We start from the raw sequence: 22,204 nt of genomic DNA on the forward strand, positions 1-22,204 counted from the left end.
GGCTCTAAAACAGAAATCTGATCAGATCACCTGTAGTGTTATAATGAAGGAACTATTAAAATAGTGAGATTATTTAATAAGAAACTCAGATGATACACATGAAAAGTTATGATTATAAAGGAGATAACACTGATGAAATCTTTCAGAGATGCAGAGGGTTGCTTTCACCCCTGGCAGCTGGATTTGAAACTCTTGACTGCCGCAGTCATTTTCATTAAGATGGGATACACTTTTTCTGTTTTTTTTTTCTTTCCACATTTGTTGTACAACGTAAGGAAAAAGTAGGAAAGAATGAACGTTTTGTGGAATTTTTGTTCTTTTCAAATTGGAGTATGATTTGAATTGGAGCCTGAAGAAGGAAATATGTGACATTGTTACATTATAGTTTTCTTAAAAATGATCTCATTTTAAAATAATTTTTACAAAGGTTTTCTCCATTCCCAATTCTAAACTTGGTTTAAGGTTAAATTCTGCAAATATCTGAACATAACACTACCTATGAAAATAGAAGCGAGAAGCAAAATTTGATTAAATTTACGGTAATTCACTTCTTAAGATAAGGCAGCTATTCCTTACAGTGGGATACACCTGTTAACAGATATAACTTTCCATTTGTCTAAAAATTTGATAGCATAAAGAAAAAAACAAGTATCTAAGGTGATGGATTTATCAATTACCTTGATTTCATTATATGAATGTATCAAATAATCACATGTACCCGAAAATATGTACATCTAATATGTATCAATTAAAAATGTTTTTTAAATAAAGTAAATCAAGAAAAAAAAGAAAGCACCAAATCTTCAAGTGATAAAATGATTAAATGATCTAAAAATCATTAAAAACAAACACAGGGTTAGGAATTTTGTATGTAATTAAACCTGACCAGAATATAGCAATGTATGTCAAAAAGAAAATGTATAGAACATTAAAGAGTAACAGAAAAAAAAGAATGAAAAGATATAGGCTATAAACACAGTTATTATTTGGGCAAGTGTTTAATTGTGGATATATATTAAAAAATAATTCAGCTTTTCCTTGTCAAAAATGGAGAACATCTGAAATTTTTCTAAGCAAGGAGAACGGTATTTGCAAAGGAACTTTTTTTGGAGATGAATCTATTTTATGCATTGTTTCCAAATATTCCAGAAAAGATAATATTTGAAGGTAAGAACTTGATCAGGAGACTTAACATAATCCAGAAAGGAAGTGATGAAGCACTGAGCTAGGATGGTAGCAGTAAGACTGAAAAGGATGAGGACTAAACTGTATCTTGCTGACTGACTCGCAGCCTGTTTGTTTAAGGATGTATCCCCTCCACTGCACACTATAACCAGGTACATCCTTTTAAAAAAATTGAATACTGATTTGGAAACCGGATGTTCAAAAATTTCATCACATTGATATTTAAGACTTTCCATAATCTGATTACTAACTCTCTAATCTGAGCTTTTTTTTTTCCTCCAGCATAAATTCTCCATCCATCTAGGATATTGCCTATACCATTCACAAAACAAGCTACTCCTTAATACTTGCCTTCATTTGTTTGCTTATGTTGTTAACCTGAGACTGTCCTCTGTCTTACAAAAACATAATCAAATCCTCTTCTTCAGGGCTCATGTTAACCCCATCTCCTGAGTAAATTCTCAGTCAACCTCGCCAACACTTACCTATTGCTTCTCTCAACTTCTACAGCAGCTACTTTCTACAGAATTCATTTTGGCAATTAATCCTATTTTTCCTCCCACTGCTATATGTTCTATGTGAATGTCTTCCATAGTCAATGACAAATTCTTACATATAAAAATTTTATTATATATTCCTTTCACTATCAGGTATGGGTATAATGATCAATCAACACTTCGAAGGTGAATTATTATGATCTCTCATAATTCATGTACATTTATATAGTATATATTTACATAGTCTGTAGTTTTTCTAGAATTACAAGGTTATTATTCTAGGTTGTATTATCTGTTACACAAGACTAAGAATCAAGTCATAAGCTTTTTCTCTATCCCCATGTATGTCCACTAGAAGTATTAATAGGAATCAACTGATTTTTCTACATATTTAAAATCTCTGTATATAATATTTATTCAAAGATTTTTTTTTTTTTTTTTTTTTTAAAGAGACAGGGTCCTTCTATGTTGCCCAGGCCGGTCTCAAACGATCCTTCCACCTTAGCCACCCAAGCATCTGGGATGAGATAAAGATGTTTGTTAGTAGGTTTAAGTCCCATAATTCCCTTACTTGCAAAGAGAGAGAGAAAAGTCGGTTAGAGAGTAAATACTTTGGTCATGCACAGTAGCTCATGCCTATAATTCTAGCACTTTGGGAGGCCAAGGTGTGGATCACTTGATGAGCCCAGTTCAAGACCAGCCTGAACAAAATGGTGAAACCCTGTCTCTACAAAAAACTGGCCAGATGAGGTGGCATGCAGCTGTAGTCCCCAATACTCAGGATGCTGAGGTGGGAGGATCACTTAAGCTTGGGAGATTGAGGCTACAGAGAGCTGTAATTGTGCCACTGTACTCCAGCCTGGGTGACAGAGTGAGATCTTGTCTTAAAAAACAAAAAACTTAAAGAAAAAAGAAAAAAAAGAGTAAATATTTCATCTTTTAAAATTGTGCTTATAAATGCAGAAATAACCTATTTTTTAAGAAGGGACTGAAGAAAGGTTTCAGAGAAGAAAAGCATATTGTCAGGGTGGGACAATATTTGCAGCATAGAATAAGGTAGAATTCTAGGAGAGGCTTCTTAGGACACAGGCTGGCACTTCTCCCATCCCACCACAGAGAATAAGAAGGAATTGATCAGAAGTAGGATAAGCCCAAGACATAGGGGCAAATGCACACGTCCTCCATGTGGGAACTACTCCCACTCTGGAACTGAGCAAGCTAGTAAACTCAAGAGAGGTTCATACAAATTGTCAAAATGTTAGCAAGACCATGACTCCTGGACAGACAAACTGTTTTACTCAAAGTAAAATAAAATGCAGCCCTGAGACAATGTATGTATCCTATATTATTTTTTAAAGTGCATGTTTCTTGTATATATCTCAATCTACAATCCTTAGAAATCCATCAAACCATAATTGTGATTAGAGATGTACTATGCTTGAAAAACCTTATTTTTACTTACATTTCTACAGCACTACATTGGCACCTATATATTAATAGTTCTTATGTGATCCACCCAAAGAAGGGTGAACGTCAAATATTGCTATCCACATTCTACAGGCCTTGTGGAGTTTCCATTCTCCATGTCAAAGGATACCTAGTAATTTAAGTGCTGGAAATGGGGCCCCAAATCAGGTCTCATCACCATAAATCTAGGGGAAATGTTATAATATAGGGGTGGGGGAGGGGAGTAATATTTATGTGATAGTCGAGACACTTGAGTTTTATTCTTGATACTTAACTACTACTACCTAGTAAGGCAACCTTAAAAAGATCACTGAATTTCTAAAGGCTTCATTTTTCTCACCTAAAAAAAGAGAAATCTCGACTAGATGTTTCAGATGTTCACTTAAAAAGTTAAGTCATAAAATACAAGCACTAGGAGATATAAGATAAATAAGACTAAGCTCTTTCCCCTAAAATAACTTACTGATCAGTGAATGAGACATGCACAGGAACAAGATAACCAAGAAACAATGTGTTAACAGCAGAAGATAATAGATTTAAGAAGGGCAGAGAGGACTAATTTAGCAAGGAATAGGGATGGGAATTAAAATCTGAATTAAGTCTTAGAAAAGTATCCAGGCAAATAGAGGACCAAAGGACATTCCAATCGAAGGGAACAGCATAAACAAAGCCTCAGAGTGGAAAAGCAGCATAGGTTGTACAGGGAATTATAAACAGTTCAGTATTGCTGATACATAATTGTAGAGCAGAAGAGAGATCCTGCAAGAGTTGAAAGTAGAGGCCAGATTGAAGAGATCTATGATGTATTAAGAAAGCTGAACTTTATCCAGTAGGCAATGATGATCCAAGGCAGGGCTTTCACAGGGGAATGGCATAGTTATGATATAATTTTAGAAAGACCACTTTGATACCCGCGTGAAGAAAGAGTATGAGTGGTACAAACTAGAAACAGAGAAGCTAGTTAAGAATCTACAGCAGATATGATGAGGCCTCATTCTGGGGTGATTATAGAAAAGGATCATAGGTTCAAGAAATATGCAGAATCAGCAGGACTAGAAATGGATTGGGAGTGGGGTAAAGATGTGAAGGAGAAAAAAAAGGCATGGAAAGGATCCATGTTTTTGATCAGGCAGAGACAGAACTCAGATACTGAGTACAAAGGAAGAAATAGACAAAATTATCTTGAGTTTATCTTAGGACGTACCTGGTCAAAAAATATCTAGGTAGAGATGTCCAGCAGCCAATTGAACAGAGTAACCTAATGCTCAGGAGAGAGGCCTAGCCTAGAGATTTAAGTGTGGGAGTAAGCTGCACACAAGGTTGCAACTGAAACCCCAAAAGTCAACGTGTCCGCCCAAGAGAAAGTACAAAGTGTGAAGGGTCTTCAACCAGAACCCTGTTAAATACCAGAACTGTGCATTAGCCTAAGGGGTAGGGGGGAACAGGAAAGAGGTATATCCCAGAACACAGTGGGAGTGGTCAAAAAGGAGATGGTGATCAACAGTATAAAATGCAGCCCAGATATAAATCCAGGAAAAATAAGAACTGAAAGATGTCTACTAGACTTACTGACAGGGTTCATGACATGATCTCCCAAAAGATAGCACCTTAGCATTTGAGAAAACAGCAAAAGCAGGAAGGCCATTCTTACCTTCCTCTCATCCTTCTCACGTGAGACAGGTCATAAAACTTAGCAAGAATTTTTTGACCTTCCCCTGAAATAGGTCATAAGATCCCCATATGAGAGATGCCCATACTATACCCAGAGGGAAGGAATATCCTTATTCCTGAAGACACAGGGACAGAGAAAAGAATCTGACAAACAAGCCTTACTAAGTTCCCTTCAGTTTATTACCATTATAAGCCCTTAGTCCTTATGACTATCCACCTCTTCATCATCCCTAAACATAAAAATACACAAGTTTGGCCAGGCATGGTGGCTCATGCCTGTAATTCCAGCACTTTGGGAGGCTAAGGCAGGTGGATCACCTGAGGTCACGAGTTTGAGACCAGCCTGGCCAACATGGTGAAACCCCATCTCTACTAAAAAAAAAATACAAAAATTAGCCAGGCATGGTGGTGTGCGCCTATGATCCCAGCTACTTGGGAGGCTGAGGCAGGAGAATCACTTGAACCCGGAAGGCGGAGGTTGCAGTGAGCCAAGATCATGCCATTGCACTCCAGCCCGGGGGACAGAGTGAGACTGTCTAAAAAAAAAAAAATTTATGTGTTTTTTTGGGTCTTCAATTCCAAAGGCTGCATTGTCACATAAAAGTTTTATTACTTAAATTTGTGTGTTTTTCTCTTGTTAATCTTCCTTTTGTTATAGGAGCCTCAGCCATGAACCTGAAATGGTAAGAAAAGATATTTCTTTTCCCCTACATTAGCAATTAAGTGGTCACTCAATAATTTATTATAAGTAGTTTCAATCAAGTGAGTAAGGGAGGAAGCTAGACTGCAGTGGGATACGAAGTGGAAACAATGAGTATAACACTATCTTTTTGAAAAATTTAAATCAGGAGGGAAGCAATTCAAAATTTAATTAAGATTGGAAGTTCTCAAACCCCTTTACAGTTCTCATACTCTGTTCTTTTCATATAAATAAAAAGCCTATTTTGGTAAAATTTCATTAAAACCCATATTGATTAAATATGAAGTAATATCTTTAATTATCAGAAAAATGAGGGATATATATATCCCTTTGGTAGCTACAATTTGATATATATATATATATATATATATATATATATATATATATATATATATATAACATTTCCCAACATACCTTAGAAATACCTTGTAAAATTATCTTTTTAAAAATGTACTAAAGGGGGCTAGGGCAAAGGAAAAAGCAATGGTGAAGTAACCCTCTCTTGCACCAATTGTTCCTTCCTTAATTCCTCATAAAGACATTCTTCATTGCCCTCTGCCTGGAATATTCTTCTTCTCTGTTTTAATTTGCTTAACTCCTACTCACTCTTCAAGGACCTGCTCAAAGTCCACCCCACAGAATCACAGAATGTCAGGGACAAAAAGGGCCTTACAAATCCACTGAATCCAAATGTTTCTAACATGCTGATGAAGAAACTACATAAAGATCAGAGTTTCAGAGAATAATCTGCCCAAGGTCCTATTACTTGCAGCTTGCGGCCAGGTTGGAATTTGAACTACTTCTTCAGCTAGTATCCATTTCAGTAGACTCATTCTTTCCTCACATAACTGTTATTACAGAATTGAAGATTGCGGTAAGTCAAGCTTTAGTAATAATCAATTTCTAAAAATTTATTTAGAGTAAGATCCATGTTACTAATACTTTTTAAAACTAAGGAGCCAACCTACAACTTACTTGTTAGTTTGAGTCAACTACCTACAGCTACTTGATTATACAAGATTACAGATGTCAGATAGTATTTATTTCATGGATAAATAAGCTGACTGTCAGTCACTAAATAGGATCCTTCCCCAAGAGTGCAGCATTTATTTCAGCCTCTGCCAGTGGAAGTGTTGGAGCAGATGTTGGCAGACTGTGACATACAGTATGTCTTTAAAACTCGTTGGGGTGTGAAATTTCATAAGGTCAAAAAATGCTGCATTTTGATCAGCAGATACAAGAATTCTGTACTTTTATAAATTATTTCAGAAAAACCAATAACATTTGCTGGTAAAATGGATAAACTAAAAAGCTACACTGGCTTTAGGTAGGGCATTTAGATAATGTATGCTGCTTATGTTCTAAAAGCTAATTTCTATCACTTTAAAGCAAATGTTCACTCAAAAAGTCTTTAAAATGAAAATCTGTTCTTAAGTCAATACAAAATACAATATATTATTTCAGTTGACAATAGGGTTTAAAAAATAATTTTCTATTGAAAGAAAACCATTATTATCTAATGAGCATTTTGGTGGGAAAAAAGATGTTTTCCTTAACTAACACACACACTTCATAGTGATCTCATTTAAAAAATATCTATATTAAGAATCCACTAATATAAACAGAGAAAGCTTTTTTTTTTAAGTTAGTATCCATATCGTTCAAATGACTTCACAAATCTTTTAACCCTTTGGTTTATTGTTTTATCTTTTTCTTAAAAAAAATACAGTAGCCATTCTAACCCACTAATAAGGGCTAACCTGAATTAAACAATAGGAGTAAAAAAAGATCACGGCTTTTATAATGGTAAAATGAAATTTGTAACATTCAAAGACTTATTTTCTTGAATTTTTTGTTATATTATTGCATTTTTTAGCTTCAAATTTCCCTTGTATCTTTTTTTCCCAAATATGGCTAATAGATAACATATAACCAAAATCAAAATTAAGGATATTGTCTCGTTAAAGATTTTAGCTTAATAATACAGACGAGCTAGATCTTAGGCAAGTTTAACTTAGCGTAATTTAAAACACTTTACTTCTAAATTAACACAAAGATTCTCTAATTGATTAATCAATATATTTGAAGAGTTGGAAGAGCCTGGTAATAACATAACAATAATAATCATTGTCATTATCATCATTGTCATCTTTCAGTTTATTTTGTGCTATGTTCATGCAAATACAAAATTTCTAAGTAAGTTTTAAACATTTTTGTTAGATATTTGTAAGGAAGAAAAATTTAACTACGAACATAAAATCTCCCCAGAAGATGATTTCTAATATAAATCACCTGTTTCTCATCACACAATCAAAAGAGCTAAGATTATGACAGGAAACTGATTAAAGTGCATTAAGTACCACAACATCTTATAATCATGCTAAATCTAACAACCAAGTTCAAAGGTCCTTGTTTTTATGTTATAAACAAAAACTTGAAGTATGTATTTGGGGAATTATATTTATCACATTCAAGTTCTACATAAAAATATTAAACTCTATTGCATTGTATAAGACCAAATGTTATCGATAACCTCTATGCTAAGGGACTGAAATTCTATCAAAGCTGAAAATTTCTCTATTAAATATAAACCCAAACTTTTTCACAGGTTTCTCATATAGCCTAAGATATCTGACACATAAAATCATAAAAATAAATAAATACAAGATGAATCAACAATTATAATTAACTTACTTGCCACTGAAAAGTTGTTGAGGGGATAAGGTAAATCCACATCTTGAGGTTTCTCTTTATATCCTATGAATGAGCCATCTGTCTTCAAAAGGAAGTATCTTGGCCTCCAGTTTTTTATATATTCTCCTACATGAGGAAAGCACGCATGTTAATGCTGAAAAAAATGAACAGCAGCTTTTATGCAAAAAATAAATTATGGTACAATATATGTCCTACAACACTGGCCTCCAAAAATTTAGTTACTCAATTTTCTTTTAACTTAGCTTACAAAAGAAAATACATAAGCCTACAATTAAGATTCAATAAAAACCCAAACATGTTTTGTTTTTAATGATTTCACACTTTGATAATTCATTTGCACCATTATTCCTTCAGAGAATCATCTGAGTACACATTTTGTTCAGTTTTTCATTTTATCAGATGGTTGTTAGAGCATATTTTCAGCTGTTTTAAAAAGCCTTGGTAAATCATCCACACAGTATCAATGAATTTCCATTAAAAACATTTATCATAAGAGAGGCAAGAAATAGATGTTTCTCTTCCACTAATTGTGTCTTTTTTTTTTCAAAAAAGAAAGAAAAAAGTCTATTTTCATTAATAAATCTTGACTGTAACTTGTTTAAGCAACATTTTATTGTTCTTCATAGAAAAATAACCTTTTTGCAATGCTGTACTTAAGAAAACGAAAGAACATGGGTTAACAGGGCTTTCAACGATACGCAAACTCACACATACACAAACATAGTAACTATTAATATATGGTACAGTGTCAAGAACATAATAGTCAATAAATGTATACTTTATTAGAACTTAACATAAGGTACCACCTAGCCACCAAAATACACATTTTTAGCAACTACATTACAATTTGCTTACCTACTAAAGGACAACTTCTAATTTTAAGCAACAGAGGTGCTCCATGATGCTACAAGAGCTAGAAGGCTATCTGGTATTGATTCAGTTCTCTACTGGTTATTTCTACCTGCTGATTAAATCTCAAATGCTTAGGCAAAGAAGTACAAAAAAATTGCAAACAGTTCAATTTTCCCTACAAATCAGCTTCTTCTTGTGACCCAAACTCAAACCCAACATCTGAAGGTTCCCCTCCTTATCACAGTTAGGTCAATACTGCCATCACAAGTCTCTCTGATTGAGCCCAATCAACTGAACCCTTAATACGTTATATCTACTCTTCTGTTAATACTGTTTTTCCCCACTCTACACATTCCCCACTTCCATCCTAATGTATCTATCACCTCCAGATTAATCTTGTGTGTACCACTTTATCACTTTTCTGCTCAAAATATCCTGTGACTCCTTACTGCTTACTGTAAAGTCCAGTCTCTTACCATAAAATGTAATCCAAATCTTTTACTATAAAGGGCAATCTCACCCCAACATGTATTTCAGATGTGGAATCATTCCTCTGAATCAGCAATTCTTAAACTTCTTAGAATCTCTTTATATCCTTAAATATTACTTAGAGCACCAACAAATTATGTAGATTTTTATCTATGTTTACTTTATTCGAAATTGAAAATAGATTTTATAAATGTTTTACTTCACTTGAAAATAAATTTATTACATATAACAAATAACATATTTTTATAAAAAATAACTATTTTCTTTAAAGAAAGAAAAATGCAAAGACCAGCACTGCTTTCCATTTTTACAAATCTATTTAATGTCTGGCTTAATAGAAGACAGCTTAATTTTCTTAGCTGTTCCTGCCTTCAACATCCTGCTGCAGTATGTTGTTTTGGTTTAAATTTAGGGGGAAAAAATCTGGCTCAAAGAGATATGAAGCTGAAAAAGGGAAAAATATTCAGATAGTTATGGATATCATTCTTTGATACTACACCAGAATTCAACAAGGGTTAGTTTCTAAAAGGTTAGTTGCAATGTAGAACTTGAAACTTTTAACAATGAACTTTCTGTACTATTATGTGAAAATCCATTGATCTATACTGGACTTTGAATGAATCTTTAACACTGTCTATAATTTTATAACATTATGCATTGGTCACATAGAAAACCCTGGCTTATCGTGCTATGCTGATCTTCCTAATGTTGACACATTTCATTATACAATCACATTTGTTATCAATACCAGTCTCATGAAAAAAGTAAACATTGGAAAGCTGACAAGCTCATAACGAGAGATCTGTTTTCCCAAATTTAATCTTTGCTTAAAAGCTCAATTTCCATCAGTGACAGCATATACTGTCAGTTGTTTTCCTTGAGGTGATAATACTCTACATGCCCAAGCTGGTGCCCACCACTTAATGCTCAATCATGATTTATTAAACAAATGAATAAATAGAGGATACGTAGATCAGTATCCTCCACATAAGTATGTAAGGGCAAAAAAGAAATTTAAAGAAAAAAGAAAAAAAAGTGATGCTCTTCACTTTATTTTACTGAAAAAAGACGGCCCTAATATTAATAAGCACATGACTTAATAAGGCAATTTATAAAACTAGAATGCCTAATACACAATTCCCACGTTGAAAAATAAAATAATTCCTTAATTGCTCTTATTTTATTTTTCCATTTCATTTATTCCTATATAAAATTCAAAATCATTAGGTATTAATTCTCCAATTAATGACATATTTAGACTTCAAATGTTGTTGTACAGCAATAAGAGATTTATACTGGTACAATATGCTGTAACTCTGTAAAGGTAAATCACAATAGTTTAATAATTATACCAAAAATAAAATGAATCAGATCCATTTGAAAAATACAAAAGAAAACACGGAATAACACCATTTCTTCTTCTTTTAAAATAGTACTGAATACACTTATTCAAGAAATGTAAAATTAAAAGAAATCAAATTTTCATTTCTAAGCATAATTTCCCTCTATGTACATCCTCAGATGAAAAACACAAAAACATCATTATATAAATCTTGTATCTTTTTTATTAAGCAGATTTTTAAACTTTTAAAATATTTTCTATGATCTATAGCAGGACTTCTGGTTGCCAAAAAGCTATTTAAAAATAAATGTATTATGCATCCTTCAAACGTAATACAGTATACCAAGATAGTGATGTACTCACTCACATAGAAGAAAAATTTTAAAGAATTTCCCTTCTTCCTTAAAAAAGTATTATTTCTCACAAACTTTTTAAATAATTTTAAATTGATTTGGTTAATCAACAATTATACTGTGATACTAAGCCAGAAGTAGATCTCAAACTTCCAATAAAGACTACTAAATCTATTTTCTTGTCATTTTTCACCTATAATATGAATTAACTTTCTGAGAAGATGCTTAGAATGCATTCATTATTAATTTGTTACAGAGGCTGGACCAAAAAAAAAAAAAAAGACAACTTAATAGAGCTTAATTCCAGTATTATACCAGATTTCAGGTGCCTAGCTGTTCGAAAAGGAACTGAACACTTTCATCTCTAGCTCAGAAGTTGAGGCAGTGTGAGTTCAGATAAGGCACGTGTTGTCAGGTTGTTCTAAAATATGGACAGAAAGTCCTAGCTTTTATGAGGCTAAGTACCCAGAACAAAGTACACTCCCTGCCACCAATCCTTTTAAGACGGACTGCTAAAAGTCAATCTTTTATTTTAAACACAGAATTTGCATCTAAGTTTACACATGATGCATCAAACCCAAATTGCATCATACTTTTATGTTTATGGCCCATAGGTTTTAACCAATTTAAAACACAACCTGGTTAAAATGGAAAGTCTTGTCAAAAAAGAAGCATTTATGATGTACCAAGTATCCCAAAGAGATTGTTCAATGGACACCCACCAATATACATCCAAATAGTAAATGTATCGTCAAGATAAACCTTCAGCAAGCACTGCAGTCACAACTGGTTAAGACTTCCAACCCAACCTCTTCCACTATATATATATATATATATATATATATATATATATATATATATATATAATCTTCATGGGTGCTTCCACTTCTTTCTCACACTCTTTTGCTGGAAGCTATACCTATGTTGAAGTATGCTGTTATCAATACCAAAACAAATACATTTCCCAGCAAGGATTCTGGTATACTGGCTTCTGGTAGTGAGGTGAGTGGTGGACCCTCGAATGATGTACGCACCCTAATCCCAGGAACCTGTGAATATTACCTTATGGTAAAAAAGAATGACTATTACTTTATATGGCAACACATGTGATTAACAATTAAGGATTCTGAGAAGATGGACTTTTCCCCTGGAGAATTATCTAGGTAAGCCCTAAATCCAATTACAAATGTCCTTTTAAGAGTAAACTGAACACACAGAGAAAAGGAAGGGGGAACGTGGCCACAGAAGCAAAGATTGGAACTATGGGCCAAAAGCCAAGGAGCACCTAGAGCCACCAGAAGCAAGAAGAGACAACAAGTGGGTTCTCCCCTGGAGCCTTCTCAGTGAGTGTGAACCTGCTGACACCTTGATTTCTAACTTCTGGCCTCCAGAATTGTGGCAGAATAAATTTCTGTTGTTTTATGCCACCCACTTTTTATTAATTTGTGACAGCAGTCCTAGGAAATACAGCTCCTAAACACTATGACCAATGGCTTGCTAACAGAGCTAAAAACTACTACTTACTCATTGAGTTCTTGGCATAGGACATGTACAGATTCAGTTAGCACCTTCTGAATGCAAAGAGGAAAATCCACATTACTACTGTAAATGGTAGAGAATCCTACTTGTAAATTATGAGGGTGGAAGAAACTGTTTGCTAGAATTCATGGTTTTACTTAGTCCTAATAACTTCAGATTCTGGACCTTTGCCACCTTTCTTACTTCACTTAATAACTTATTCCCTGTAGTTAAAACAAACGATCTCAATGATTTTGAGTAAATTTTGACCATAGAAAACATCCTGAATTTCCACAGCTGAGTAAAAATACTGCATTATTTTGGACCTCAGGCTTAGTCTATTTTTTTTTTTTTTTTGAGACACAGTCTTGCTCTGTCACCAGGCTGGAGTGTAGTGGTGCAATCTTGGCTCACTGCAACCTCTGCCTCCCAGGTTCAAGCGATTCTCCTGCCTCAGCCTCCCGAGTAGCTGGGATTACAGGTGCGCACCACCACACCCACCCATTTTTTGTATTTTTAGTAGAGACAGGGTTTCACCATGTTGGCCAGGATGGTCTCGATCCCTTGACCTCATGATCCACCTGCCTTGGCATCCCAAAGTGGTGGGATTACAGGCGTGAGCCACTGCGCCCGGCCAGGCTTAGTCTTTAATAACAACCTGAGATGGGACCTGGTATGAGTTTAGACTCATGCTCACTTTCCACCTAAAAGATCTGGATAGGATATTCAAATAAATCATCTTTATCATGAATTATATACTCTCAAACCAGAGCTCACCAAAAAGTTGACAGTGTTCACTTCCTACCATTCACCTGATAACAACAAACTGTATTTTTACTTAATAATCTTCAACCTAAATTAGTCCATATATAAACATTTTATTTCATTATTCATCAACACTCTACTGAGAATCACATTTTGATTTTTTAAAAGCTTAAGTCGTAAGTGTAAAAGCTGAAGTCGTAAGCGCCAAGGCAGAAGCTAGAAGTGTACATCTCTGGACTAAACAGTGATTGATTAAAATGTGCAAATAGTCTTTCATCTAGAATAACTAAGGAATATCTAGATTTGTTCAGACATGCAAATGGAAAAGATCTTCAGAAATAATTCAGCCTTGTGACCTCACAAATAGATCATGTTGATGAATATCTGATACCTTTTTAAGGCTACATTGTGTTCCAGAACCTAGTTCTAATTCTAACTTCATGAAAGGTAGAAAGATGTGAAGTGAGCTGGGTACTGGTTGAGAATACTGCAGAAATACTCATCTCTACCTTCAACTGTCATGGACTATGCTAAAAACACAATCGGGTAGATTCACTGAGATGTAACTAAACAAATATAGATACAATCCAATTGAAAAGAAATCTATAAAACCATAGCACTATTTTTCACAAATCCCATAAAATTCATTTGAAATTCATTTAGTTCATTTAGAATTTAATTAGAAACAACACAATCACCATTTTAAAAATATGCTTCTTACCTAAGAAAAAATGCAAAAAAAAAAAAAAAAGACCCTAATTATCAAGAGTTGCATAACAAACAAAAATTCTAATTTTCCGATACAGGTGCTAGCTTTTTAAGATACCAATGCTCACTCAAACTTGTTGTAACATAGTCTTCAAAGCTAATCACTGCATAAGGAAGACGGTGGGAGCATCCTCACATGTATGTCAGGAATAGATGTTACTGTTTTATCATAAAGCTAAAACAAGTATAAGCTCAGCTTTCCTCAGAATGCTGTATTTTAAATATTTAATTTTCATGTTTAATCACAAGCAAAGTCACAAAGTTTTTACCATGTATGATTATTTGTCCTTATACATCTCTGAAGAAAAAAATGTATAGATTACATCTATACTTAATGCATGCGTTAATGAAAAAATAACCTCTTTCGCAATCTTTATTATTTACAGAGGGAGAGAGCCATAGAATTTATGCAAAAAAAAAAAAAAAAAAGCTGGCCATACTGTCAATGTGAAAAGCATGTGGTCACATTTTCAGAATAAAAGAAATTTTAATTTAAACCAATGCTATGTTGTGTAACAAAAGGTACAACAAATTGTTGTGATCAATACGAGGTCAACAAACTTCTCAAATTAGCCTTCAGTTTCTTTCCCACTCAACCTCATCATTAAAATGCTCCAGGCAGAACAATGTAATGGTTAAGAGCAAGGACTCTGGAGTCACACAGCTTGGGTTTGAATCCTAATCACATCATTTATTAGATGCATGAACCTAACCTCTTTACATCTCAGGGTCCTCATCTGAAAAACAGAAATCATAGTTTTTATCCACCAAAGGGTTTTTGTAAGGACATAATGTAAAAAGCCCTTAGAACATTACCTGACATATTTCAAGTATTTGATTTGGTTGTTAGCAAGTGATACTAATACTAATACCACTTATGATAATATAATTTATAATCCAACTACAAACCACACATTAAATGTTCTACTAATCAGTACTGCACTTATTCAGAAGTATTTACATAAATGAGGCAACGATGAATTTTTTAAGTCTCTTTGGCTAGTGTCAGGTATATAAAACATGTATTTTATGTAAGGAAATGAAGAGGTTATCCAACATCTAAACACAGTATTAATTTGACTAATACTTTTAGTTCTTTTGAATATCAGGATATCAGAGGGGTAAACTAGTCTTCCAAAGAAAAGAGCAGAAGTCAGATTCTTCTGAATTTTTATAAATGATACACACAAATGTACAGTACCATAAAAATATAAACATTTTATGAATTTTCAAAGAGCAGCTTTAAACCAGAAAAAGGCAGTTTTCAGTAAAAATAAATGTACATGCTTCAAGAAACTATCTTTGGCAATACTCCTTAAATAAAAGTCTTCATGAGCCAATTTTTACCTAAGACAAAAACAGATACAATGTTAATTTCAGCATAAAATCTATTTAATTTCATCATTCACAATGTAGTAAATATTTAGTTGCCTGTTGACAGACACCAAATTTTCACATATGAACTACCTAAAAGAATATGGCAAAATCTTTTCTACTAATGGATTTCATAAATAAATATTAGCACAAAAAATACTGTATAGTCCATAATTATGTGATACATCTTAAATATCAGTAATCAATTATAGTTGCTGAAGAAATGCATGACAATAAATATAATAAGACATTTGCAGTATTTAAAATTACTGATTACAGTTTTATACAGAGGAGTACAATTAGTTCTGAGTGGAAGCCTATTCATGTCTCTTAGAGAATCAAAGAAATGTGCTTCTCACTCAACTTATCATAACCATGTTTTATTGATGTCTTAAAAATAATCCTGGGCCAGGCGTGGTTGCTCACTCCTGTAATCCCAGCACTTTGGGAGGCTGAGGCAGGCGGATCACTTGAGGCCAGGAGTCAGAGACCAGCCTGGCCAACATGGCAAGACCGTCTCTACTAAAAATATAAAAATTAGCCGGGCGTGGTGGCGGGGCCCTTATAATCCCAGCTACTCGGGAGGCTGAGGCAGGAGAATTGTTTGAACCCAGGAAGCGGGAGGTTGCAGTGAGCCGAGATTGCACCACTGCACTCCAATCTCAGCAACACAGCAAGACTCCATCTCAAAAAAAAAAAAAAAAAAGAAAAAGAAAAATATCCTGAAGAATTTTGTTCATATTATCTACATTGCAATAAACTAGCGTAAGTTTTCAACTGCACAGGGACAATATGAAATGTAACTTTTTAAAGTGATTTTGCATATTATAGGTACTTATTAAATACATATATTGATTAGATTTTCCAACTCCTAAAAACCTGAATTTTTAGGTTATCATTTATCTTTTATTGAGTCTTGAAACATGTTCTTTCCTTGCCCTCAGGCAACTGAAAAGTGTTAAATTCTATTCTGATGTCTATGCAATGTCTTTGACCACTTGTCATCAACCAGCTTTGGATGTGTGTTGATAGTCTGTGAAAATTGAGCAATGTCTAAGCATTATGAACTCCTGCCCAGCTCACTCATTTTAAGGTGCTGCTGCTCAAGACCACCTAGATCAAAAAAGCCACTTTAAACATCTTTACTTAGATTTAAGAAAAACGGGCTAACAGTTATTCAATCAAAAATACTCGGTGAGTGTCAAAATATGTACAAGTACTAAGAAGGCAGCAATAAATGATACAAGCATAGTCCCAGCCCTCATGGAGCTTTAATAAATGATACAAGCATAGTCCCAGCCCTCGTGGAGCTTTAAGTCTAGTAGGCAGCTGTGAGAGGTGGAGAAGAAAAGGGGATGAGTTGACTAATTAAAATTTTAAGTGAAAATTTCTCCCATTTCTTTAACCATTCTTAGTGATCCAGAATGTCATACTGGGGATGGCAATAGCCCCTATTCTTTGGCATTTCTAAATAGCATCTCATGTGGATTCAGAAAAAGGTAGTCGATGATATTTGTTGGTTTGACGTCTAACTGTGGGGAAGGGACTGGGAAGAATATCAGCGTAGGATTCTTCGATTTGCTGCTATGTTGATTCCAAGATGAGGCACTGCATCATCCTGCATTCCTCCTTGAAGCCTCACAATAACACAAGCAAAAGCAAGGCAATAGCTTTACTACCCTTTCATCTAGAATAATAAATAACACATCTTTACGTTTCAGGTTTTAAGATTATTGCCCATTCTTGTCTTTCTCACTGATTTCTGCATAATATTGATTAATAAGGTCAGATTTTTAAACACCTGAATTTCTCTTTATGGTTATTTCACCCGGTAAACTCTGGGTCACTGAGATGTTTGTCTGCTCTTGGACTGGTCAATGTTGCCACTGCAGCTGGCCACACGGAAGGTGTTTACAATTTTCGTGATTTTGTGTTGTGCTTCCGAGATGTCTTAAAGGCTTTCCAGATGTACCCACATTCCTCTGCTTTGCCACATATGTTCCCTCATGATTATTTTGAAAAGTATATTATAGTCAAGAAACTCTCATTCTAATGCATAATGCATGAACTTGTCATTTTTACATTAAGTACAGTTTTCACTTCATCTTAGCCAAAAGTCCGAGAAGCAATATTATGAAGTATAGTTTTCATATCGGCTTCCTAAAGAAAGCTGGGGTCCATGTTTTGCTTTGAAGCTGATGAGATGATGAGAAAAATACCTATGCATTGAATACCAACCACAAGATGTTAGAATGGCAACTTCTCTAAGATCTCAGTATGGTTGGTTTGTTAGTACTTTTATCTGCTTTACAATTTTCTTTTGTTTTCCAGAAAACTGCATAATTATCATCTACCCTTAAGTATTCTGGTATTTGTTTCATGATATTCGGTAAATTGACTAATCAAATCCTTGTTCCACTTGTTTTTAGGAAACATTACATTTTTAACCAAAGTGATGCTTTTAAATTATTCTCTTAAACACAATAACATCTTAATAGAGTTACAGTACCCAGTTTTACTCTAAGAGAAAAGCAAGGTGAGTAAGGAAGGCACAGGGGCATTGGGTGGAGACACAGAGAACAAAGCATCCACACGGACTAGCCAACAGAAAGCATCCTGGCAATTTAATGAAGAATAAACGGTGACTTTAGTTTACATAGCAGTAGGTATGTTGTGGAGAATTACTCAATCTGTACGCAGCCTCCTGCTGGGTTAAGTGTGAGCTAAGTTATTATTTTGCTTACATCTGCACCCTTGTAGGCTGTGAAAGCAGAGCTTTCTTTTTAAAAATCTGTTTACTGCATTAGAGCAGAGTTTCCAGTTCCACACACCGGATTTAACACAAAGTCATTCTTGCACCATTTTCAAAAAGTAGTCATAGAATTTTAAACTATTATAAATATAGACCAATTTAAAAATATAATTTCATCAGAAACTTTAAAACTTCCTTATTGTAAATATTTCCCATTTTACCACCTTATATTATCTAAATATAATATCATACATGGCATATACACTGCAGTAAATAACCTTAATGAATACCAAATATGGAAGCAGTGAGTCCATAACGCAAGAAACTACCACAGAGGTGGGCAATAACCATTAATTCAATGACTAAATAAACCTACCACCATTTGAAATAAAGACTATACTCCTGTCAGAAAAGCTCTCTCAAACAGAGAAGTCTCTCTATAACACAACCTCGTATGGTTCAATCCACTTTTCTGTTAGAACATGCCTGATGGATATGACAAATAACAATAATGGTGCCTCACTACAGCACTAACTGGGAGTTTGCAGAGAAGGCAGGCTGTAGTGCTTGCTCATCAGGAGGTGGTCTGTGCCATCTGAAAAAACTCTCAGGTGGTTCAACCCACCCATCCCACTCCTATACTAACATCAATGCTCTACAGAATAAAAACTAATAGGACTTTATCTTAGACTCTTACCAAGGAGTTTTTCCTCTAAGAAAAGTCTAGTAGTATGGACCCTAAAATGGCACTGCATCAAACCGAGAGCTCCACTATTCTGAGGATGAATCCATGCCCTTCATAACTCCTCTCTTCCCTCCTTTGTTCTCCTTAGACAATGTACTGATTGAGTCTTGTACCACAGCATGTTAAGTGGTGAAAGGAAGAAGAGGTAAGAGCAAGGAAGAAAAGGAAACATGAATGTCCTCAGCCAGGCACTGTGCTCAGGCTTCACTTACAGAGCCCTCTTCACAGCAACACTGAGACTGGTGCTGCAGTATTCTCACTTTTCACAGAGAGCCATGCTGAGGCTCTGAGACACTGGGACAAGCTAGTAAAGGACAGAGTTAAGATTCAAAGAGTGGTTGGGAGCGCACACTCTCAAGCTGGACTGCCTGGGTTCAAATGCCAGTTCTGTCACTCACTAGCTGTGTGAGAGACAGTGAATGCTGTTTAATCTCTCTGGGTCTCAGCTTCCTCTTCTGGAAAATGGGGACAATAATAATGGAGAAATAAATTAAAGTTTGTAAAGCATGTAGAACAACATCTAGCTCACTGCAAGCATTATGTAAGCATTTGTTAACTGAATAAAACATCTCAGAGTAAGGCTAAGGAAACCAATCAAAGGAGATTTAGTGAGTACCTAATATGTACAATATGTTAGACTACACAAAAGTAACTAGAGTGTTTAAAATAAAATGGAATTTCTTTAATTTGTCTAGACTATCACTATTGCACATTAGCTGAGCAAAGGAGGTATTGATTTTTTGTGGATAAAATTTCTATTTTTGTTATTCACTTTGCTTATGTCCTGTCTTCATCCCTCATTACTAAGAATAATGAACTGAGTGTCGCTTATGTTTAACTCATTGAAATCTCTAGTGAAAGACTGACAATACCAACTGTCACAGAAATCATCTTTCTTAATTCAATAACAACTAACTATAGGGCAAAAAAATCAAAAGCCTTCCACTGAATTTACTACTAAACATTGCAATGTTTCTTTCAAATTATAAGAAAGTTACTCCATACAAAAAGAAAAAAGGACACAACTCATTATTCTGGGTTTTTTTAATTTTAGATTCAGAAGGTACATGTGCAGGTTTGTTACATGGATATACAGCATGATGCTGAACACCTCATTATTTTGACATCAGGCCTTCCCCACTCTTCCTTTCTTATTACAAAAATTAATCATCATCTAATCCCCAATATTCTGAATTCAAAGAAGTGTTAAGTCACACATCAATATCAGGTCTTTACCTCTACTTTAAAAACGTATGCTTTTATAAGTGCACAGGAATAAGTGTATTTCAACTTCTAGTATATTTATACATAGCCACTGCATATACAGCAAAGTAAATTACTCTTGATTCATATTATATTTGAAAGATGTGATTATGCTTAAGTTTTTAAAACTGAAGGGAATCTATGCTTCCATTTTAATGAATACTGCTCTATATTAAAAAGTGTGGCTTCAAATAATTTTGAATACTAGAATATCTGCTATCAAAGACACAAAAACTAAAACGCACCCGCCAAGTAAAATCATCTTAACTTTTCCAGGTAATTTTCTTATACTCTCTATGAACCCATCTAATTTGACAATTTATGGCCAGTCATGTTAACATTTTCTTAGACTAGAACTGAACATGTTTAAATGATATCGTCGAATTGAAGGGCACAAACATTTTAAAAGAACACAACAAATCAAAGAAATGCAACCACAAATCAAACACTATTCAATTACTCAAATAAATAATTTTGAGTACTCCCCAAAGAAAGCTTATAGATAATATAAATAGAAAAGCTGCTTCTCAATGTTAAAAATGAATTTACTTACCTTGGCCCTCTGAGGGCAGTATTACCTAACACATAGAAATTTCAGAAAACAATCTTTACCTATCATACTAATAAAAACAAATTTCTTAAAATGAAATGGGCATATTTGCTCATTATACGTACATATTTCTTTCCTCATCATTATCTGTACCTCAGTAAGCATAATAATGCTGTTTTCAAATGTTTCCAGTGACTTTGAAAGGAAAGATTTTCTTAAAACCAAGGCATCAGGAAGGAAAATGCATGGAATCATCAGTATCACTGAAGTCATCCAAAATACAATAAAATAAAAAAGTATATAAGAATTTTACATTGCATAAATAATCTAAGTTCCTGTTTTGCTCTCTGTAGAATAATTTGTTTTTAAAAACTGCAGGACATCTAAATATACAATCTTTCAGTAAAGACAAAGTAATTTGAGGAGGATAACAATTCAGTTCCAAAGTGTCTTCTTAAAAGCAGCCAATACCAATACACTCGTTTGTTACAAATCACTCATTTATTAATGAAATATAATGCAAATGACAAATTGGCAATGTGGAGTTGAAGCACTCACTGAGTTTTCATAACTGATTCTTACACTAAGAATCTTTACATAGCATAAGGATTATCCATTCTAGAATCTAAGTCAATCAATGTACACTGGGTGTTTTATTCCTTTTGCTATTTCACAGAAAGGAAAAGTTTTCTAGCATTCACTTATCAAAGTTTTTTTTTTATATACAAAACACTGAGTAACTTACCCTATATAATCCAGTGGTATGATAGACCTTTACTTTAAGAATATAAAAAGTGCTAATCTTTATGTCAGAGTTTTACATACAAGTTAATTAGTAACTATCCAACTTTCCAGGTCCCACCACTTCTCCCATATAGAAAAAAAAAAACAAAACCTAGCATTAAAAGAAAAAAAAAAAGAGCTTCTATTGAAGGAAGATAAAAATTATTACAAGCAGGTAAACAGCAAATTTACTTTGACACAGCAAGATCTCACGTGGATGACACTGATTGCCATTTAGTAAAAATGTGTTTTATTTAGGTTTTGTATTTACTTTTTCAAAAAAGTCCTTGCTTCTATAATTCAAAGTATAGTAGTTCTCCACTCAGGAACTATGCCATTATTTAGCATAACTTTGAATAAATTAGATTTTTAAAATTTGAACTACTAAACAGTCTTATTCTTTTTAAAGTATATA

The 22,204-nt window shown here is 34.1% G+C and overlaps 1 protein-coding gene across 12 annotated transcripts in view; it reads right to left on the bottom strand.

Moving 5' to 3' along the window:
• AKT3 (AKT serine/threonine kinase 3) overlaps positions 1–22,204 on the bottom strand; it is a 362,847-nt gene that overhangs the window by 199,144 nt on the left and 141,499 nt on the right. For all 12 annotated transcript variants that reach the window (NM_181690.2, NM_001370074.1, XM_047420641.1 and 9 more), the window contains one exon: positions 8,215–8,340. In NM_181690.2, coding sequence (NP_859029.1) covers positions 8,215–8,340 — 126 coding nt within the window. The remainder of the gene's footprint in view (positions 1–8,214; positions 8,341–22,204) is intronic.

Source organism: Homo sapiens, chromosome 1 (genome assembly GCF_000001405.40).
Source record: "Homo sapiens chromosome 1, GRCh38.p14 Primary Assembly".
Taxonomy (NCBI): Eukaryota; Metazoa; Chordata; class Mammalia; order Primates; family Hominidae; genus Homo; species Homo sapiens.